Source organism: Homo sapiens, chromosome 1 (assembly GCF_000001405.40).
Source record: "Homo sapiens chromosome 1, GRCh38.p14 Primary Assembly".
Taxonomy (NCBI): Eukaryota; Metazoa; Chordata; class Mammalia; order Primates; family Hominidae; genus Homo; species Homo sapiens.
In genome coordinates, this window is record NC_000001.11 from 156,144,535 (window position 1) to 156,163,735 (window position 19,201).

The following is a 19,201-nucleotide window of genomic DNA, read 5'->3' on the forward strand; positions in this document are numbered from 1 at the left end:
CAGGAGACTGAGCAGGAGAATTGCCTGAACCTGGGAGGCAGAGGTTGCAGTGAGCCTAGATCATGCCCCTGTACTCCAGCCTGGGCAACAGAGTGAGACTCCGTCTCAAAATAAAATAAAATAAAAAATAAATACAATAAAATAGTCTGGAATTCAGGCCATTCTCATCACCGCTGCTGCCACCACCATCATCTGTTGTCTGGATTATGGCATTAGTTTTATAACTGGTCTCTTGCCTTTGCTCTGTACAGTTTATTCTCCACACAGCAACAGAGTGATCCTTTAACAGTTTGGTCACTCCTCTGCTCAGAACCCTCAGTGTCTTCCCAAAGCACGAAAATGTTAAAGCCAAAGTCTTCACAATGGCATACAAAGCCGTGCATGATGACCCCTCCCACCTCATCTGTCACTATTCTCCCTTGTTCTCACCCCATTGGAGCTACCGTGGCTGCCTAGATATTCCTAGAACACGCCACGCACACACCTGCCTCAGGACCTCTGAACTAATGGTTCCCTCTGCCTGGACCATTTTTCTCATTAGGTATCTGCATGCCTTGTTTTCACTCTTTCTTCAGATCTCTATTCAAATGTCAGTGTCCAGTAAAGCCTTCCCTGACCAAATTACATTTTATATTTTATTTTACTTTTTGAGGTAGGGTCTCACTCTGTCACCCAGGCTGAGTGCAGTGGTGTGATCATGGCTCACTGCAGCCTCGACCTCCCAGGATTTAAACAATCCTCCTGCCTCGGCCTCCCAAAGTGCTAGGATAACAGGCATAAGCCACCATGCCCAGCCCCCTTACCAAATGTTGTTATTATTATTTTTTTTTGAGATGGAATCTTGCTCTGTCACCCAGGATGGAGTGGATTATGTGATCTGGCACACTGCAACCTCTGCCTCCCAGGTTCAAGCGATTCTCGTGCCTCAGCCTCCCGAGTAGCTGGGATTACAGGCATAAGCTGCCATGCTCAGCTAATTTTTGTATTTTTAGTAGAGACGGGGTTTCACCATGTTGACCAGGCTGGTCTTGAACTCCTGGCCTCAAGTGATCCACCCATCTCGACCTCCCAAAGTGCTGGGATTACCCTACCATACCCAGCCCCCTGACCAAATTTTATAAAAGAGTAGCATCTTCCTCATCCCGAGTTTTAACCTCCCAGCCACTCTTTCTTCTTTATTTTTCTCTGGGACATTTAACACTATTGAGCATACATTACACTTGTGTATTTGTGTCTTCCACCAAAATACATACACCTGAGGGGCAGGTCTTTTGTTGTTTTTTTCATGCTAAGTCCCCAGTACCTATTGCAGTGCCTGACTATATTGTAGGTGCTTTATAAGTATTTAAAGTAAATGCATAGACTCAGAAATTGAATCGCTCAATGTGAGAACTTTTTTTTTTTGAGACAAGGTCTCACCATGTTGTCCAGGCTGGAGTACAGTGGCTATTCACAGGCTTGATCATAGCATCATAGCTCACAGCAGCCTTGGGTTCCTGGCAGCTTCCCAAGTAGCTGGGACCGCAGGCACGCGCCGCCATCCTGCCCAGCTATGTGAGCACTTTTGCAGAACCTGAGACCTATTGCCAAGTATCATCCCAAAGAGTGGAACTAATTTTCACTTTAACCACTAGTGGGCAGGTTATTACCATTCTCATTTTAATGAAGGCGGCTGAGACCCAGCGAGAGAAGAGGTTTACCCCAAGTCACCCAGGACTCCAGATTCTCAGAAAATACAGTGGCAACTCAGAATACTGTGGGAGGACCAGGGGGGCTTTGCAGAGGAAAGGGTTGTTTTGGCATGAAAGGACAAGAAGGGTTTCATCAAGTGGAAATGAGAACTACTATCCCGGAAGAGTACATCTTCCAGGTGGGAGATACCGTAGGAACAGAAACTCAGAGAAAGGCGGAGTCCAGGCTGCCTGGGGAAAAGCCCTCCCTCACTAAAGGGTCGGGAGGGGCCTACAGTACCCTGCGGGGAGTTTGAAATTAATTGCATGGGCTCTGGGAAGCCAGGGAGGGTTGTGAGTAGAGGGGTGATATGAGAATTGAGGCTTTCTGCTATTTGTCTGTCTGCTATCTTCTGTCTCCATTTTCTTTGTCCTTCTCTTCTGCCATGGGTTTCTCTCAGCTGCCCCAGCCCCTCCTGGAGTAACTAAGATTTTCCTTTTCTACGTCACAATCCTGACAGCCCATCAGGAAGCAGAGGGAGCGGGTGAGCCAAGGTCCTCCTCAGAGCCTCGGTGCCCCCTTTGCGCTGTGCCCAGAGGGGCAGAGAAAACAAGAATTGGAGAGGCAACTGGAAAGGAAGGTGCCTCCTACGCCCCCTGACTGACTCTGGGGTGCTGGCCTCCCCCTGCCTTCTGGGGCCAGGCCTCAGGCCCTTCCACTTCTTGGGCTGATTCTCCGTGCCTAGTACCAGTTGGTGCCAGCTGGCAGCTCTCACTGGAGACTGAGGTGGCACGCATATGGGGGAGGGGAGGAAGTGGGCAGGAGCCCAAGGGGAACAGGGGGCAGGGTCTGAGGAGGTGGAGTCGGAAGCTGCGTGGCCAGCATGGGGGTCTCATGGGATGAGGGAAAAGTGAGGCAGAGGACCCTGGGGGCTTCCAGGGGAGTAGGGGAGGTGTCAGGTGGTCCTAGCTCTGGCTTTCCTGCCCCTGGCAAGTCCAGTCCTCTCCCCACCACCTACTTTCCTCTACACTCACCCCCTTAAGCTGCCCCTGGCTAATTCTCCTTGGTCCCTTTAAGAGCTGCCTGGGAACTGGGGCACTGGAGGGGGCTGGCAGGGCCCCCACCCCCTCCCTGCCATGCCTGGCCCTGCTCCACCCCCTGTCCGGTGCAGACTCTGCTGGAAGTCTTGGACGCCTGGGTTAGGGTCTCCACTTCTGGGCTGGGGGTAAGGCTTAAAAGTGGTGGGGAAGGGGGACTGTGGTCCCTGGGGTGGGAGGGAGGGGCGGGATGCCAGAACTCTGGGACTATGGACATGGAGTGTCTGTGTGTCAACTCCAGTGAACAATGCAGGGGGTGGTCCTCTGGCCTCTACTGGGGGAGGGGCAGCCTCAGGGATCTTGAGGGGCATATCCTAAGGAGCAGGATGCCTGGGTCTCCTCCCTCCACTCCCCCATCTCATTTCCCCAAGACCTTCATTTTCTAAATTCCATCAGCCACTCCTTGCCCCCTGCAATCAAAGACACAGGGTCCCAACATCCCCACTCCCCACAGGTGGGGAAATTGAGGCTAGACAAACCAGAGGAAATAGAATTATGTATGCTGCAGCAGGAGAAATGGAGATTAGCTTGTGGAAAGGCTCTCTCTCCCTCTCCACCCCACAGAACTGCAAACAGGAGGTCTGGGTGTCCAGCTCACTCCAGCGAGTTTCTAACTGTGGCTATGGCCACCACCCTGGACTATGTCCCTACTCTCTCATCAAGACTATTTAGCTCTTTTCTGGAAGTTTTGATTCTCATATGGCAAGGCCAGGGGAGGCCCCCAAAGTCCGGCTGGGTGACCTGGATTGAAGTGGAGCCAGGTAGGATCTATAGGCTCCCCCATTCCCTTGGGTTATTTCAGAAAGGTAGCTCCTTCCTTCTCTGCCACAGAGACTGGATCCAATTCCCCTAAAAGGGAAGAAAATAGGGGCAGGGACACAAGGATGTCCAATGGGGGTGTGAGGGCTTCCTGCAGTTCACCTGCTTCCTTCCTGTTATCATACTAGTTCAGGGTCCTCTACTCCCCACCATCTTAATTTCAAATCATGTGTCCCAGTCCCAGGGGAGAGAAGCCTGAACAGGCAGGTCCTTTCTGAGTCCCCACAGCCGAGATGCAGAGAGGCAGTGAGGGTGGAGTGTCAGGAATCAGTGGGGACATGGCGGCCCCGTTCAGGGTCCACTTCCGATTTCAGCACATGCCATGCCCTCCTTGCTTCACCACAAAGCAAATGCTCAACCACCACCCCAGCTCAGATATGAAGGGGAAGCAGTCTTGGTCCATGAAACCCTCTACCCAGGGCCGACACCAGCACACTCATTTCCTTCCTCTTAAAAATACTATGAAGTCTGGCGGAGCCATGCTGCTCCCAGGCAGGTTAAAAAGCCATTATTTTATGGATGTGAGGCAGGGAGGGTAAATGCTCTGCCCAGCATCACACAGCAGGCTACAGGCAACCAAGCCTGGGATCTAGGGCCCTTCGCCCCAGACTCATGGTGCCTTTTCTAGTCCCCTGCCAGCTGACAGAGAGGCCAGCCTGGAAGGGGCTTTTTCTTTTTTCTTTTTTTTTTTTTTTTTTGAGATGGAGTTTCGCTCTTTTTGCCCAGGCTGGAGTGCAATGGCATGATCTCGGCTCACTACAACCTCCGCCTCCTGGGTTCAAGTGATTCTCCTGCCTCAGCCTCCCGAGTAGCTGGTACTGCAGGCATGCGCCACCATGCCCGGCTAATTTTGTATTTTTAGTAGAGATGGGGTTTCTCCAGGTTGGCCAGGCTGGTCTCGAACTCCTGACCTCAGGTGATCCGCCAGCCTCAGCCTCCCAAAATGCTGGGATTACAGGCGTGAGCCACCGCACCCAGCCGGAAGGGGCTTTTTCAACTCCTCATTTTGCCAACAAAGTTAGGGCCCAGTAGAGACATAAGGGAGCTCTAGTAACAAGGCTGTTTAGGATCAGGGCTGGGAGAGGGCACAGGCTTGGCTCTCAAAAAGGCTCCATACAAACCGCTGCCTGCCTGTGCTCCTCCCCGAATGGGAAAGAATCCGGCTGTCTTCTTTCCCTATGTCCATCTAGTCTAGACCCTTGGAAAGTCCTGTCTGAAGTCTGCTCTCTACAGCACAAACCTTCCCCTTTTAATACATCTCAGAGGGTGTTAGCCACAGAAGGCTTCTGGGGGAGCCACCTTCTTCTCAGGCAGCTTAGGAAGGAGAGGCAGAACCTGAACCTGGCAGTGGACCCCCTCCCTCAGAAGTCAGGATACTGTAAATAGAAGAGGGCTCCTTGGGGTTCTTAACAGAGTCTGTCCCTTGGCTTATTTGCATAGTTGCATAGATATTTGTGGGCTCATTCGTGTCCTCATTGGCAAACTGAATTTGCATGGGGTTGGGCTGCGGTCCAGCTGTGTCGCCCCGGCATATACACAGTTCCCGGGGTAGAGGGAAACCCAGAGGAACTGGTTGTAAAGAGGAATGGGCCCCAGCTGACCCCCTGAACCCAGGTGGTGACATGTGCACGGTGGTGCCTGCTGAAGGTGGGCAAGGGAGCTGAGCAGGGACCGGGGGCTACTGTACCTCCTTTTCACCTCCTCCCGCATCTGGAGCCCCTCCTCCTCCACATGTGCGAATCCAGGAGCCACAGAAGGTGGGGCGCAGTGGGACATGGGTAGGAGGAGGAAGAATATGGGGAGATTCTAGTCCCTCCCACTTAGAGATGCGGTCGCCATGGTGACTGAGGACCAGTGAGGCGGGATGGGGTTGAGAATGGGGGTGGGGGTGTGGCAGGGGCTGAGGCACTGAGAGACCGGAAAGCCTGGCATTCCAGAGGGAGGGAAACGCAGCGGCATCCCCAGGCTCCAGGTAAGGGAGCGGGGGAGCTGACAGTTCTGAAGGGAGGGGGCGGGGCCATTGTCTGGTGCTGGCTCTGCCCTAAAGAGGGGGCTGACAGAGGGGTCGGGCTATTGTGTGTGATACTCAGCGCAGCCTTCCAGAGCTAGTCAGACTGGAGGAGGGGACCTGGGAAGCTCTGGGTAAGGGGTTAGGAGGGACTGAGCTGGTGGGTGGCAAAAAGGCTGGGAGACAGTGGGGATGGGAAGAGGTGGAGGGACACAGGGGGCGTAGAGGCTTGGGGACGTCCCTAGTGCCTATACACGCTAGGCACTCAATACATATAAGTTGACTTGACTTGCCTGTGACCATAACAAGAGGGCAGATGAGGGCCAGGGCAGGTGGAGCTAAGGCAGGGAAGTCAGGAGGCAATGTTCCCCAGAACTGGACTCTTCTGTGGGCTGCCCCTGAAGCTGAAAGGGAGGAGGTGGGGGAAACTGGACCTGCCAGATCACTCGTGAAGCCAGGAGTTGCTTCTCTCCTGGCTCCAGGAGCTGCTCCTTTAGTGCAGCATCCGTGTTCTGCAGGGGCTCAGAAGAGACTGAGCGTCTGGGGCTGGTTGAAGCTCAGAGGTAGCATAGAGTCGGGGCGGGAAGCAACCTCTCCATCTCCCCTCCCACCTCCACATCTAGACCTTTCCTCTGCACAATAGAACCTGGCAGGAAGGGGCTACATCGCATGCTGTGTAAGGGTTGCAGGGGAGGAGCTGGACTCTGGCAGGGCAGAGGGTGCACTCAGTGTTGTTGTCATGGCAGGACCCAGGGCTGGGCTCCAGGGCTTGTGGAGAAATGGGCTGGGGGAAACCCCAGATTGGAGCTGTGAAAATGACACGGCCCCTGTGGGCAGGTCCCTGAACATCTGACCCCTTCCCACTGCCACCCCACCTGACCTGCTGCCTGACACCATTCCCAGCCAAGGTACTTCTGCTCCTTGGCCTTGGTTTCCTCATTTGTACGGTTGTCAGGAAGGGTATGTCTGAGTACCCTGTCAGCCCTGAGCTTCTTTGATGCTGTGTGCAGGACCTGCTATATTATTTGTGGGGCCCAGTGCAAAATAAAAATGTAGAGCCCCTTGTTTAAGTATTATGAGGACTTTCAACAGAGCAACAGCAGAGCATTAAACCAAGTGTGGCCCTTCTGAGCACAGGGCCCTGTGTGGCTGCACAGGTCTCGTGCCCACGAAGCCAGCACTGGCTGGGGCCCTGCCAGCTGAAGCAGGGGAGATGGCAGTGGGGCTTGGGGTCTGACCCCAGAGACTGGTGTGAGGGGTGCACTGCTGGGGGCAGGGTGCCCTTCCTATTGCTGTTTTTGACCAGGAGGCCCTTGCAGAGGCAGGGGGTGGTACCTCACAGCCTTCCTTCAAGAAGGTTTCTGTTCCCTCTGAAACGCTTTATTGACACAAATAAGCTTGCCCATAAGGGCCACGCTTGGGGCTGGGCACAGTGTCTCACGCCTGTAATCCTAGCAGTTTTGGAGTCTGAGTCAGGCGGATCACTTGAGGTCAGGAGTTTGAGAGCAGCCTAGCCAGCATGGTGAAACCCCATCTCTACTAAAAATACAAAAAAAATTAGCCGGGCTTGGTGGCACATGCCTGTAGTCTCAGCTACCTGGGAGGCTGAGGCAGGAGAATGGCTTGAACCCGGGAGGTGGAGGTTGCAGTGAGCCGAGATCGCACCACCACACTCCAGCCTAGGCAACAACAGAGCAACACTTCGTCTCAAAAAAAAAAAAAAAAAAAAAAAAAAGCCCACTCTTGGTTTAATGCTGTGCGGTTGCCCTGTTGAAAGTCCTCAGAAATCACCCCAGAGATCTGATTTCTTAGCCTAGAGTAGATAAAGCTCACTACCCTCCCAGCCCACCCTTGCCTTCTCTATCCAAGTGGCTCAGAACTGTGGACTGGGGCAGGAGGGAGGACTGAGGGACTAGGACTCTGTAGAGTCTTTGTAGCTAAGAGATTTGCTATTGAATGAGGCAGATCTGAATTTAACTTGGCTTCTAGCTGTGTAACCTCCCTTCTTGATCTGTAAAATGGGATTATGGCAGTACCTAGCTGCTAAAATTGTTGGGAGGGCTAAAGCCTGATAGTGTGAACTATTCATATTGGCTAGAGGGGCTGGGGAAGAGGACGTCCGGAGTTGGGAGAATTCTGGATGTCTGGAGGAAGAACTGGGGGCAGGGCATGGAGTCTATGACTTCCAGAAAGGTGGGAATAGGACATCAGGCTGGGAGTGTAGGGCTGGAACTCCCCCAGCCTCCCCGTATCAGAACTCTTCCCAGTGACCCAAATGAGCCAATCTGTTTAAGCAGAGAGGCCCAGGGGCAGACTGGCTTCCCAAATCTGAGCTGGGGGTTGGGGAGACACAGAAGGTAGGGTCTGGATAAATGGGAGTTTCTCTTGATTCTAAGAAACTGGAAGGGACCTGGCAACCAGCCTCTGGGAGAGTCTGGGGGAGTCCTAGGCAAGTCTTGACAGAAACGATTGTCAGGCAGGATATGTCTGAGACCAACCCCCGGGGAAACTGAGAGAGATGAAAGAAGGCTGAGTACCTCAGATGAGGAATTATAAGGAGTAGCCTGAGCTGTAACATCCCCCATGTTGGCTGGTGCTGTAGCAGGAGGGATGGAAGTTACACTACAGGAAGGACTTCCTGCCAGGGAGGAATGTGCATGTCAGATGGAAGTGGATTATTTATTAGAGTTGGATTAGCCCTGGGATGTCTGTGCTCTTTAACCTGCAGTCAGCTGACCATGTCGAGTGGGCAGGAACCTACCCACTTTGTAGGCCACAGAGTTCTTGGCGCTGGATGCCTCATTAACCCCGCGTTATGAGGCTCCCCCTGGAGCCTTTAGGGAGGGGTGAGCAGCCACCTTTGGGGGTTGGGTGCCTCCAAAGTGTGGTCCAGTGAGCACGAGTTCAGATGGGAAATGTTCTGGGCTTTCTACTGGCCTGATTTCTGGGCTTCCTATTGGCCTGATGTCAAAGAGTGATGGAGATTAGACTGCAAGGGGGACTTCCTCAGCAAAATCATGGATAAGAGCCTAATACAATTATTTTATTTTATTTTTTTAAAGACTGTGGCCCAGCTGAGAGTGGGAGGTTTAAAGGTTAGACCACTGCAGGGACTTCCCAGTAGGTAGGAGTAGAGAGACCCCACCTTGTGGGTAAGTGAAAAGAAGAATATGTCATGTCCCCTATCTGGGAAATCTTAAGCAAGAGAAGAAACCACTGCTAGGCTGGTTATACTGGCTGTGACATGATGGAGAGGCAGGGGAATCGCTGAAATGACCTAGAAGGGCCTCTTAAACTTTCTGGTTGGACCGAGCAGAGGAGGGAGAGAGAGGTGTGTCTCTTGTGAGGTGGGTGAACGTCTTTTTATTCCCTCCCAATCCACCAACTTCCGCCCAAGCCAGGATCTGTCACAACTCGAGAGGTGGAAATTCCGGTTTCCCTGGCCTAGAGCTCCCAGTGCTGGCTTTGGCATGATGGGCACCTGGAGGGCCGCACTCCCGTTCCAGCCAGGCTGAGCCTTCTGTCCCCTGCCTCTGGGGCCTGGGAACCCCCCTTCTTCTTTCTCCTGAATGGCACCCCCGCCCTAGAATCCAGACACCGAGTTTCCCACTGTGGCTGGTTCAAGGGTATGTGAGGTGAGATGGGTGGCTTGGGGTGGGTGGTCTTGGGGAAGATTATGTAGAGGCCCAGGGAGGCAGACACAGGAGCAAGAGACAAGGGGGCCGGGGAGCTGCAGAGGCTGGGAGCCGGCCAGCCACCCCTGCCCAGGCAGCTCCCCGGGAAATGCTGATAACCAACCTGGTGGGATGGACCCTCATTGCCTCCCTGGAAGTATCAGGCCAGGCAGGCCTGAGCCTCAAAGACCCTGAACCCAGCTGGGGCTGGGGGAGAGGTTAGAGCAGGCAGACTCAAACCCAGTCTGCCTACCTGGGTCAGAGCTGAGTATGAGGCACAGGTGTCAACAGATCTGAAAGTGACAGGAGAGTAAGGTCTGAGGAATTTATATTTTGGGTACAGGAACCTGCTCCCCAAAATGTTCCCTGCCCAGAGCCAGGCAACGGTTTGGGCTTGGGCTATGAGAAGAGGGAAGGCAAAGGAGGAAAGACAGGAAAGACTTCCTGAGAGTAAGGCAAAAAAAGGCAAACCAGAGCTGTTGGTGAGAAGACAACAGAAGAAGCAGGATAGGGGAGACCTGGGCTCCTACCCATAGGGGACAGTGAGGTGACAGGCTGAGGCCTGGAAGGATGATGAAAGTGAGACCGTCTTAGGGCCCTTCCAGATAGGGAACCTTCTCTGCCCCAATGCCCCACCCCTGCCACCAATACACACGCTTCTGCTGCCTGGGGCTCTCCTATTGGTCCTCGGGGGGATGTGGTAAGAACTGCTCACCCAGAAAGTGCCCGGGTGCCTGTTTCCCCAGAGCTCCCTGGTGACAGTCTGTGGCTGAGCATGGCCCTCCCAGCCCTGGGCCTGGACCCCTGGAGCCTCCTGGGCCTTTTCCTCTTCCAACTGCTTCAGCTGCTGCTGCCGACGACGACCGCGGGGGGAGGCGGGCAGGGGCCCATGCCCAGGGTCAGATACTATGCAGGTAAGTGTCCGACAGCAGGAAGTGTGGGGATAGCAATAGAGAGCTGGAGGTGGGTGGAGGAAGGAGAGAGGAACAGAGGAGGGGAGGAAATGGATATGGAGAAACAGGGACACAGAGAGAGATGCCAGGGAGAAACAGAGGATCTCGGAGAAAGAGAGACACAGCCAGAAACAGAAGTCCAAAAGGAAAGAAAAGCCACTGGAGAGCAGATTGAGGAAAACAGGTGGCCACGGGGCCAGGGGCACGCTTCTTCCAGTTCTCCATGTTGGTAATTTTTCTTTCCTTCCTTAAATATCACTGTCACCAAGCTGGGCACCTCAAACTCCTAACTGCTTCACACTCCCAGGTACCCCAAAGTCAAGGCCCATGCTAGAAGACCATATGTGGACCCGGTGACCCGGAGCTCGCCAGGCCCATGCCAACCACATAGATCATGCTGGACCATACCATGTCCAGGACCATGGGATGGCTGGTTGGAGAATGGGCCCTGGAACCCACACACAAGCACAGCTTGGCTGGTTTCTTACTGAGACTGTGGAGGCTGCTGGCCCCCTCACCTCCAGGGAGAAGACTCAGGAAAGGATGTAGACACTGTAGGAGTTGTAGGTGACTGGGCATGGCTGTGTCTTTAGCATCTTTCTGGGGCAATTGGTAAAAGAAATGTATATTGCTCATTGATGCAGAGACCTCCTCTGTGTTGGATGCTGGGCGCACAAACACGGATAAGCCTCAGCCCCTGCCCTCAAGGTGTTCACAGTCACAAGGGGGAAGACATGAGCAATCAGACCATCAATACAGGGTGATCTGTTCAGCAACTGAGGGGTTTATGGCAGCTCTGGGGGAGGCCTGGCCTCCAGGAGATGCTCCTCCCTGAGGCTGGCCCTTCCATCCCGCAGCCACACCAGATTCCCCAACTTCTCCCCTCTGTACTGTGTAAGATTCCCTGAGCCTGCAAAGGTATCAATTAGCTAGTCAGCTTTCTAACTAATGCAACAGTGCAAGTGCTAATGAGAGAGGATCTGAGGAGCTCCTTCCTCCTTGCCGATGTGCCAGTGGGACAGGAAAATACACCCCCACCCACCCCACCATGCCAAGGTCATGGAGAGGACCTAGGTGAGCCTCCCACACCTGGCTCACCATCCCTGCCCAGGGGACATCCAGCCATGCCCACATGGATCTTTGAAGAAAAATGCTTCCTCTCTGTTCGTGGTGACTCTACTGGTGGGAATTTCCTTTAACAGAAGAGGAAGAAAGCAGGGGTGGTTGGGGGGATGGCGAGAGGGACTCTGACATACGCCCTCCTGTCTGCATATAGCTTTGCTGCTTGTGGCTGCCAACACTTTCCTGTTTGTCTGTCTGCCTGCTGCTCCTCATCCTAGTGAGGACCAAGGCGTCCTCCCCGACGGTAGCCCTCCCTGTCCCAGGCCTGGAAGAGCATCCACTGTGCCTCACTTTATTTCCCGTCCCCATTACCCTGCCTCTGGCTGCCTCTCCTCTCTACTGCGGGCTCAGCACACAACGCTCTTGTGTTGGGGTGGGGTGAAGGGAAGAACTGCTGGTGGAGGAGAGTGCATCTAGCTGCCAAGGCCTGGGGAGCACACTCAGGCAACCCTTCCCCTTCCCCCACTTTTATCTCAGGAGTCAGCTGCCTGCCCACCAAGTCCTCATCACTCTCTCTGTCTTACTCCTCCAACAGGGGATGAACGTAGGGCACTTAGCTTCTTCCACCAGAAGGGCCTCCAGGATTTTGACACTCTGCTCCTGAGTGGTGATGGAAATACTCTCTACGTGGGGGCTCGAGAAGCCATTCTGGCCTTGGATATCCAGGATCCAGGGGTCCCCAGGCTAAAGAACATGGTGAGGAGTCCAGGGATAAAGAGTGTGGGCTGGGAGTGAAGAGGGGGCCGGCAGCTACCCTGGGCTTGGCTGCCTGTGCATGAATAACTTAGTTGCTGTTATCTGTAATCAGCAGTTCTCTTTATATGTATATCGTGACAATATAACAGACAGGAAATGTCGTGGCCTCACTTTTTTTTTTTTTTTTGAGATGGAGTCTTGCTCCGTTGCCCAGGCTGGAGTACAGTGGCACGATCTTGGCTCACTGCAACCTCCGCCTCCCAGGTTCAAGCAATTCTCCTGCCTCAGCCTCCCAAGTAGCTGGCACTAGCATGCACCACCATGCCAGGCTAATTTTAATAGAGACGAGATTTTACCATGTTGGCCAGGCTGGTCTCAAACTCCTGACCTCAGGTGATCCGCCTGCCTCAGCCTCCCAAAGAGTTGGGATTACAGGCGTGAGCCACCGCACCCGGCCTGTGACTTCACTCTTCACTGGTATTGTGAATAGTGATTGAATAATATTAATTGCAAAAATGGCTGATATGGAAATCATTGACATATGAGATAAACACTGACTCAAATTATATCAATAATTTGATATCTACCCACTAGTAGAAATCACTGATGCTTCTGTGTCTTTTTTTTTTTGAGATGGAGTCTCACTCTGTTGTCCAGGCTGGAGTGCAATGGCGTGATCTTGGCTCACTGTAACCTCTGCCTCCTGGGTTCAAGCAATTCTGCCTCAGTCTCCTGAGTAGCTGGGATTACAGGCGCCCGCCACTAGGCATGGCTGATTTTTCTGTTTTTAGTAGAGACGGGGTTTCACCATGTTGGTCAGCCTGGTCTCGAACTCCCGACCTCAGGTGATCCATCCGCCTCAGGCTTTCTAAGTGCTGGGATTACAGGTGTGAGCCACTGTGCCTGGCTGCTTCTGTCTTAGTCGCCCTATTAATGGGAACAATGTGAGGAAGGAAGGAAGAAAGGGAGAGAAGGCACTAGCAATATTAGCAATCACCTCCATGGTTCATGTATCCTGATGTGTAGTCTGCTGACCACCTGCACATATGAGATGCTGGTTAAAAATGCAGATTCTCTAAGGCGTGACCCAGGAACCAACTTGTTAAACAATTTCCCCAGGAAATGTGCGGTTTGACAACTGCTGCCATATATACCATTCATCGTGTTAGGTGTTTTGTATATGCCACCTGGTTGTATCTGCCAGTAGCCTATGAAATTGACCAAGATCTCTCAGTCAGGAAATAGCCAAGTCTAGATTTAAACTTGGGTCTGTCTGATTCCTTAGGCTGTGTTCAACTATGGAGCTATGTCTGATACCAGTATTATTCAAGTAATAGCCATGGTCACAAACTGATGTTATTACTGCCCATCAGCATGTCACTAACCACCATGTCTGCTGGTTATTTCACATCAGAGCAGAGAAGGGAGGCAGGTCACAGCTAGAACTGAGGACCTTATTTCTTTTCATCTCGCCCTCCCAACTCCCCACTTTCAGATACCGTGGCCAGCCAGTGACAGAAAAAAGAGTGAATGTGCCTTTAAGAAGAAGAGCAATGAGGTAAGTGGAGGTGGGGGAGTAGGGGTAGAGTGGGTAGAGAGCTCTGGCATCCCTAGACCATCCCTGGATGACCTCAGGTTGGGCGGCAGTGGAGGGCACTTGTTTGCACGGTTATCTCCTGGATTATGTTCTACAGAGGCGTACAGGGACTGCCCCAGCATTACCTAGCCTTTCTCCTCAGTGAGGGGGCAGCCTCTGGGGGTCCAGCAATTTGAGTCAGGTGGCCTGGAGACCTAAATTCTCTGTCTCCCTCAGACACAGTGTTTCAACTTCATCCGTGTCCTGGTTTCTTACAATGTCACCCATCTCTACACCTGCGGCACCTTCGCCTTCAGCCCTGCTTGTACCTTCATTGTGAGTTCTCTGGTGCCCAGCGCTCAGGCCCCCAAGCATCCCTTCTCACATCTACCCACGACTTTCCTCTGTAGCTCTGGAAAACTCTGGCCTTCCAGATGCAGGACCCTCATGAACTTCCTGGCCCCAGACCAATTTCCCTCTATGTCCCTTTCCCTTCCTTCCTCAAGCCCCTCATTTCCCAGATGTGAGACCTTGGCGTTCTGGCCCCCCAGCCTCTCTCCCCATTTAGGAACTTCAAGATTCCTACCTGTTGCCCATCTCGGAGGACAAGGTCATGGAGGGAAAAGGCCAAAGCCCCTTTGACCCCGCTCACAAGCATACGGCTGTCTTGGTGGGTGAGTATCAGGTTTCCCACTTCATCCCAACATCTACTTTCTCCAGTCACGCTGTGAAATATGGAATATTACAGAGTTTTCCAAAAGGCAGGGGAAACTGGGTGTGGTGATGCGTGCATATGGTCCCAGTTATTTGGAAGCTGAAGTTGAAGGATGCTTGAGTTTAGGGGTTTGAGTCTAGCCTGGGCAACACAGCGAGATCGTCTCAAAAAAAAAAAAAAAAAGCCTCAGTGCCTCATGCCTGTAATCCTAGCAGTCTAGCAGTTTGGGAGGCTGAGGTGGGTGGATCATGTGACCCCAGGAGTCTGAGACCAGCCTGGTAAACATGGTGAAACCCCATCTCTACTAAAAATACAAAAATTATCCAGGCGTGGTAGGGCGCACCTATGGTCCCAGCTACTCGGGAGGCTGAGTCACAAGAATTGCTTGAACCCAGGAGGTGGAGGTTGCAGTGAGCCAAGATCGCGCCACTGCACTCCAGCCTGCGCAACAAAGCAAGACTCTGTCTCAAAACAAAACAAAACAGAAAATGCAGAGGACAGAGAGAGAGAGGGAAGCCAGAAGCCTCAGAACACAAGATCAGAGGGAGAATTAAGCACCCCAACCACCAGCTCCTGCTGAAATTGCCACAAAAAGTGGTGGAGAAAGATGCATGTGGAGAGACAGAGGCACGAGGGCCCGGGAAGGGTATTGGGTAGAGAAGAGGCCTGAGACTGAGCCACTGTTCAACAATTGTGTGAACACTTCCTCTGGTGTACTGGGCACTGTGCTGGGTAGTATAGGAGTTATAAACAAGAAATCAGGCTGGGTGCAGTGGCTCACACCTGAAATCTCAGCACTTTAGGAGGCTGAGGCGGGTGGATCACTTGAGCCCAGGAGTTTGAGACCAGCTTGGGCAATAGTATAGTGAGACCTCGTCTCTACTAAAAACAAAACAAAACAAAAACAACAACAACAAAATTAGCCGGACAAGCGCCTGTGATCCCAGCTACTTGGGAGGCTGAGGTGGGAGGATCGCTTGAGATGGTCAAGGCTACGGTGAGTTGTGATGGCACCACTGCACTCCAGCCTGGATGTGAGCAAGACCCTGTCTTGAAAAAAAAAAAAAAAAAAAGGGAGAGAGAAACCATGTATCAATGCACTACTGGACACCAACCATTACAGACTTCCCACCTGCCTTCCTGGAGGAGATGGCCTTCGGCTTTTCAGCAGGACCTTGAAAAGATAGGTAGACAGATGGCAGGGAAGGTGTTCCAGGGAGAGAAGGGTAGGACCCAAGGTGTGGAAGTGGAAAACACAGTCACCTTCCAGGATCAGTAAGTGATTCTACTTGGCAAGTGGTTCAGCTAGGTATGTGACGAAGTAGCCACAGAAAGGCTGGAAAAGTGCCCAAACACGGAGGGCCACACAGGATGGCCATTTCCTGTGGAGAGAGGAAGCTAAGAGGGGTGCTTAGTGAGGAGGGGGAGCTGGCCTTTGAGGCTCCCCAGGAAGGTGCAGAACTGATGCAGGGCCCCCGAGACTGATATGGATGCCAGCCCCAGTCAGAGGCAGGTCTGTGGAGGGCAGAGGAACCCTCCACCCCATCAGTTCTCTCTTCTCCTCTCCTCCACCCTAGATGGGATGCTCTATTCTGGTACTATGAACAACTTCCTGGGCAGTGAGCCCATCCTGATGCGCACACTGGGATCCCAGCCTGTCCTCAAGACCGACAACTTCCTCCGCTGGCTGCATCGTAAGGACCTGACCCCCGCTGGCCTCCTTTCCTGAGTCCTGGTGACCTTGCTAATTCACTCAACTTTCATTTGCGGAAGGTACAATGTGTCCATTACTGTTAGGCGCAGGGGGTATATGGCAGGGAAGAAGGCAAAGCTCCGGTTCTCTTGAAGCTTTCGTCTTATGTAAACACATTAAAGAAGTACCAGTCATCCCCACCCCACATCGCTACCCCTCGACAAGCTGTGGGACCCGAGGAAGCCTGTGTGTCCTGGCCTCCAGGGCCAAACCAACGGTTTTCACTCAGGCAAACCCAGGGCATGCAGGGGCTCAGTCCCTAAGCCCATCTGCCCCTCCCCCGCAGATGACGCCTCCTTTGTGGCAGCCATCCCTTCGACCCAGGTCGTCTACTTCTTCTTCGAGGAGACAGCCAGCGAGTTTGACTTCTTTGAGAGGCTCCACACATCGCGGGTGGCTAGAGTCTGCAAGGTCCGCGGCCTGGGCGGGGGGCGGGGCTAACTGGAGGAGAACCAATAGGGAGATGGCAGGGGCAGGACTGAGTGGTGGGCCCCCAGTGAGAGCGGGGGAGCGGGGCGGGGAACAAGCGGGCCTGGCGGGGTGGGGCGGGGGACAGCGGGGCTGGGCGGGTGGGGCGGGGGACAAGCGTGGCTGAGGGGGCGGGGTGGGGACACGCGGGGCTGGCGGGGACTGGGGGGACACGCCGAGCTGCGGGGGGCGGGGAGGACACGCGGGGCTGGGGGGTCGGGGCGCCCGGGGCGCCCCCTGACTCCCCCTGTGCCCCCAGAATGACGTGGGCGGCGAAAAGCTGCTGCAGAAGAAGTGGACCACCTTCCTGAAGGCCCAGCTGCTCTGCACCCAGCCGGGGCAGCTGCCCTTCAACGTCATCCGCCACGCGGTCCTGCTCCCCGCCGATTCTCCCACAGCTCCCCACATCTACGCAGTCTTCACCTCCCAGTGGTGAGCAGCAGGGCTGGACCATGGGGGCTGGACACGGGACTTGACGCCAGTGAGGCCCCAGCTCGTGAGCGGAGGCAGGAATTGACATGAGCCAGCACCTACTCAGCACTTTCACATAGGAAGGCATTAAATCGTCACCACCTCTCAGGAATTTGACTCATGCCCTTTTTGTAAATGGGAAAAATAAGACGCAGAGAGGTTCTAACTAGTTTATATTCTGCCTAGTTCCAAAAGGGATAGGAAGCATTTTACAAAAGGCAAATATTAAAATCGATAAAATAGATACAGAAATGGGAATAAAAGGAGAATATGAGAAGCCAAGGGTAAGGCCAACACACTACAAATGCTTGTCATAAGATGTAGGATAGTCCCTGGATGCCAGCCACAAATTTAGCTCTGCATTTCCTAATGGCCAGGGCAAACAGGGAAACGCTATCCGTATCAGAAGATAAAAATAAAGTCGGCCGGGTGCGGTGGCTCATGCCTGTAATCCCAGCACTTTGGGAGGCCGAGGTGGGCAGATCACGAGGTCAGGAGATCAAGACCATCCTGGCCAATATGGTGAAACCCCGTCTCTACTAAAAACACAAAAATTAGCTAGGTGTGGTGGCGCATGCCTGTAGTCCCAGCTACTCGTGAGCCTGGGGCAGGAGGATCCCATGAACCCGGGAGGCGGAGGTTGCAGTGAGCCAAGATCGCACCACTGCACGCCAGCCTGGCAACACAGTGAGACTCCGTCTCAAAAAAAATAAATAAAAATAAAGTCATTGCTTGAAGGTTGAGAAAGGTTAACCAATTTGTCCAAGGTCCCCGAGTCATGGTCTGGCCCCACAGTGTTTAGGTACCTGCTGACAATGTGTCAGGTACCAAAGGTATTTGGGGTAAGTGGGATCTGGTATCCACAGGATCCAGAATTGAGAGCCTGGTGTATACAGTAGTCAGCTTCAAGAGAGCAGAGAAACAGACCTCCTGTCTCCACAGACCAGGGTTGAGGAATAATAACAGTCTGGTAGTCAGGCACTGGTCGGTTCTCTGAGGACCAGGGATCCAAGAGACTCAAAGGAAGAGGGGTTTGTGTGGAGCCAGGCTAGAGCTGGTTACACTGTCCCTCCAATGGGTGCAGCCCAGTGTAGGCAGGACAGGCAGGGGCCACCCCAGGGCCTGAGCCCCAATTAATTCTCATTAAGGATAATCAGACTTCAGATCCCAAGATGGGCCTAGAGCCAGGCCCTGGGCCAGAGTCAGGGAATTCCATGGGGCTCCCTTGGCCCTTATCAACACAGTGAGGGGAAGGAGTGGTAGCTGGAGGCTGGCCCAGCTCTCCACACTCTTGCCTCCTGGGTTTTCTCACTGAGGGCCAGCGCTGGAGAGAGAGCTGCTGGTGTGGCAGAGACCACAGACAATGTTCCCTCTGGCTGTCTCCAGGCAGGTTGGCGGGACCAGGAGCTCTGCGGTTTGTGCCTTCTCTCTCTTGGACATTGAACGTGTCTTTAAGGGGAAATACAAAGAGTTGAACAAAGAAACTTCACGCTGGACTACTTATAGGGGCCCTGAGACCAACCCCCGGCCAGGCAGTGTGAGTACTACCCCCCACACTGAGCACAGTCTACACATACATAATGTGCATGAAAAAACACCTATCATGGCATAGTAAATGCCCAATAAATGTTAGTGCTCTCCACCCCACCAATCTCGCCTGCTCAGACGTACACCTGGTATAGCTGCCTATATTCCACATGTGCCTAGCACCCTTTTATACACGGAGCAGTTGCTGGAGCCATCTCCCTTCACCAAGGCTAAGTGTACACCAAATATCTGGGTATATCACTATGGAAACAAGGGAACATGCGCTGTGTGCCAAGGACTGTCTTGGGCATTGCCACCTGCATTTATTTAACTTTTTAAAAAAATCAGAGGCCAGGGCCGGGTGTGGTGGCTCACACCTGTAATCCCAACACTTGGGGAGGCCGAGGCAGGTGGATCACTTGAGGTCAGGAGTTTGAGAACAGCCTGGCTAACATGGTGAAACCTCATCTCTACTAAAAATACAAAAATTAGCCAGGCATGGTGGCACGCGACTGTAATTTCAGCTACTGGGAGGCTGAGGCAGGAGAATCGCTTGAACCCGGGAGGCAGAGGTTGCAGTGAGCCAAGATTGCGCCACTGCACTCCAGCCTGGGTGAAAGAGTGAGACTCAGTCTCAAAAAAAAAAAAAAA

The 19,201-nt window shown here is 53.2% G+C and overlaps 1 protein-coding gene across 18 annotated transcripts in view, besides 5 other annotated features; it reads left to right on the forward strand.

Annotated features, from left to right (window-relative positions):
- SEMA4A (semaphorin 4A) overlaps positions 2,839–19,201 on the forward strand; it is a 30,372-nt gene continuing 14,009 nt past the window's right edge. For 2 of the 18 annotated variants that reach the window (XM_011509871.4, XM_047427678.1), the window contains exons 1-9: positions 5,150–5,234; positions 11,880–12,040; positions 13,536–13,598; positions 13,854–13,952; positions 14,185–14,290; positions 15,909–16,025; positions 16,371–16,495; positions 16,812–16,984; positions 18,410–18,560. In XM_011509871.4, coding sequence (XP_011508173.1) covers positions 5,210–5,234; positions 11,880–12,040; positions 13,536–13,598; positions 13,854–13,952; positions 14,185–14,290; positions 15,909–16,025; positions 16,371–16,495; positions 16,812–16,984; positions 18,410–18,560 — 1,020 coding nt within the window. In that variant the 5' untranslated portion in view covers positions 5,150–5,209. Of the gene's footprint in view, positions 2,897–5,149; positions 5,345–5,409; positions 5,560–8,992; positions 9,231–10,013; positions 10,184–11,879; positions 12,041–13,535; positions 13,599–13,853; positions 13,953–14,167; positions 14,291–15,908; positions 16,026–16,370; positions 16,496–16,811; positions 16,985–18,409; positions 18,561–19,201 lie in introns of those variants that run through there. The other 16 variants (XM_047427670.1, XM_047427671.1, NM_001370571.1 and 13 more) reach the window with 16 other exon arrangements.
- Positions 6,674–6,743: an enhancer, noted in NCBI's record as "active region_1847". NCBI's record gives its function as "activates an Ori minimal core promoter by ATAC-STARR-seq in GM12878 lymphoblastoid cells {active_cell/tissue: GM12878}" and the evidence as "EXISTENCE:reporter gene assay evidence [ECO:0000049][PMID:35858748]".
- Positions 6,754–6,883: an enhancer, noted in NCBI's record as "active region_1848". NCBI's record gives its function as "activates an Ori minimal core promoter by ATAC-STARR-seq in GM12878 lymphoblastoid cells {active_cell/tissue: GM12878}" and the evidence as "EXISTENCE:reporter gene assay evidence [ECO:0000049][PMID:35858748]".
- Positions 10,067–10,116: an enhancer, noted in NCBI's record as "active region_1849". NCBI's record gives its function as "activates an Ori minimal core promoter by ATAC-STARR-seq in GM12878 lymphoblastoid cells {active_cell/tissue: GM12878}" and the evidence as "EXISTENCE:reporter gene assay evidence [ECO:0000049][PMID:35858748]".
- Positions 14,850–14,989: an enhancer, noted in NCBI's record as "active region_1850". NCBI's record gives its function as "activates an Ori minimal core promoter by ATAC-STARR-seq in GM12878 lymphoblastoid cells {active_cell/tissue: GM12878}" and the evidence as "EXISTENCE:reporter gene assay evidence [ECO:0000049][PMID:35858748]".
- Positions 17,562–17,713: a silencer, noted in NCBI's record as "fragment chr1:156131887-156132038 (GRCh37/hg19 assembly coordinates)". NCBI's record gives its function as "represses an EF-1alpha promoter that drives an FKBP-Casp9 reporter gene in an ReSE screen in K562 erythroleukemia cells {active_cell/tissue: K562}" and the evidence as "EXISTENCE:reporter gene assay evidence [ECO:0000049][PMID:32094911]".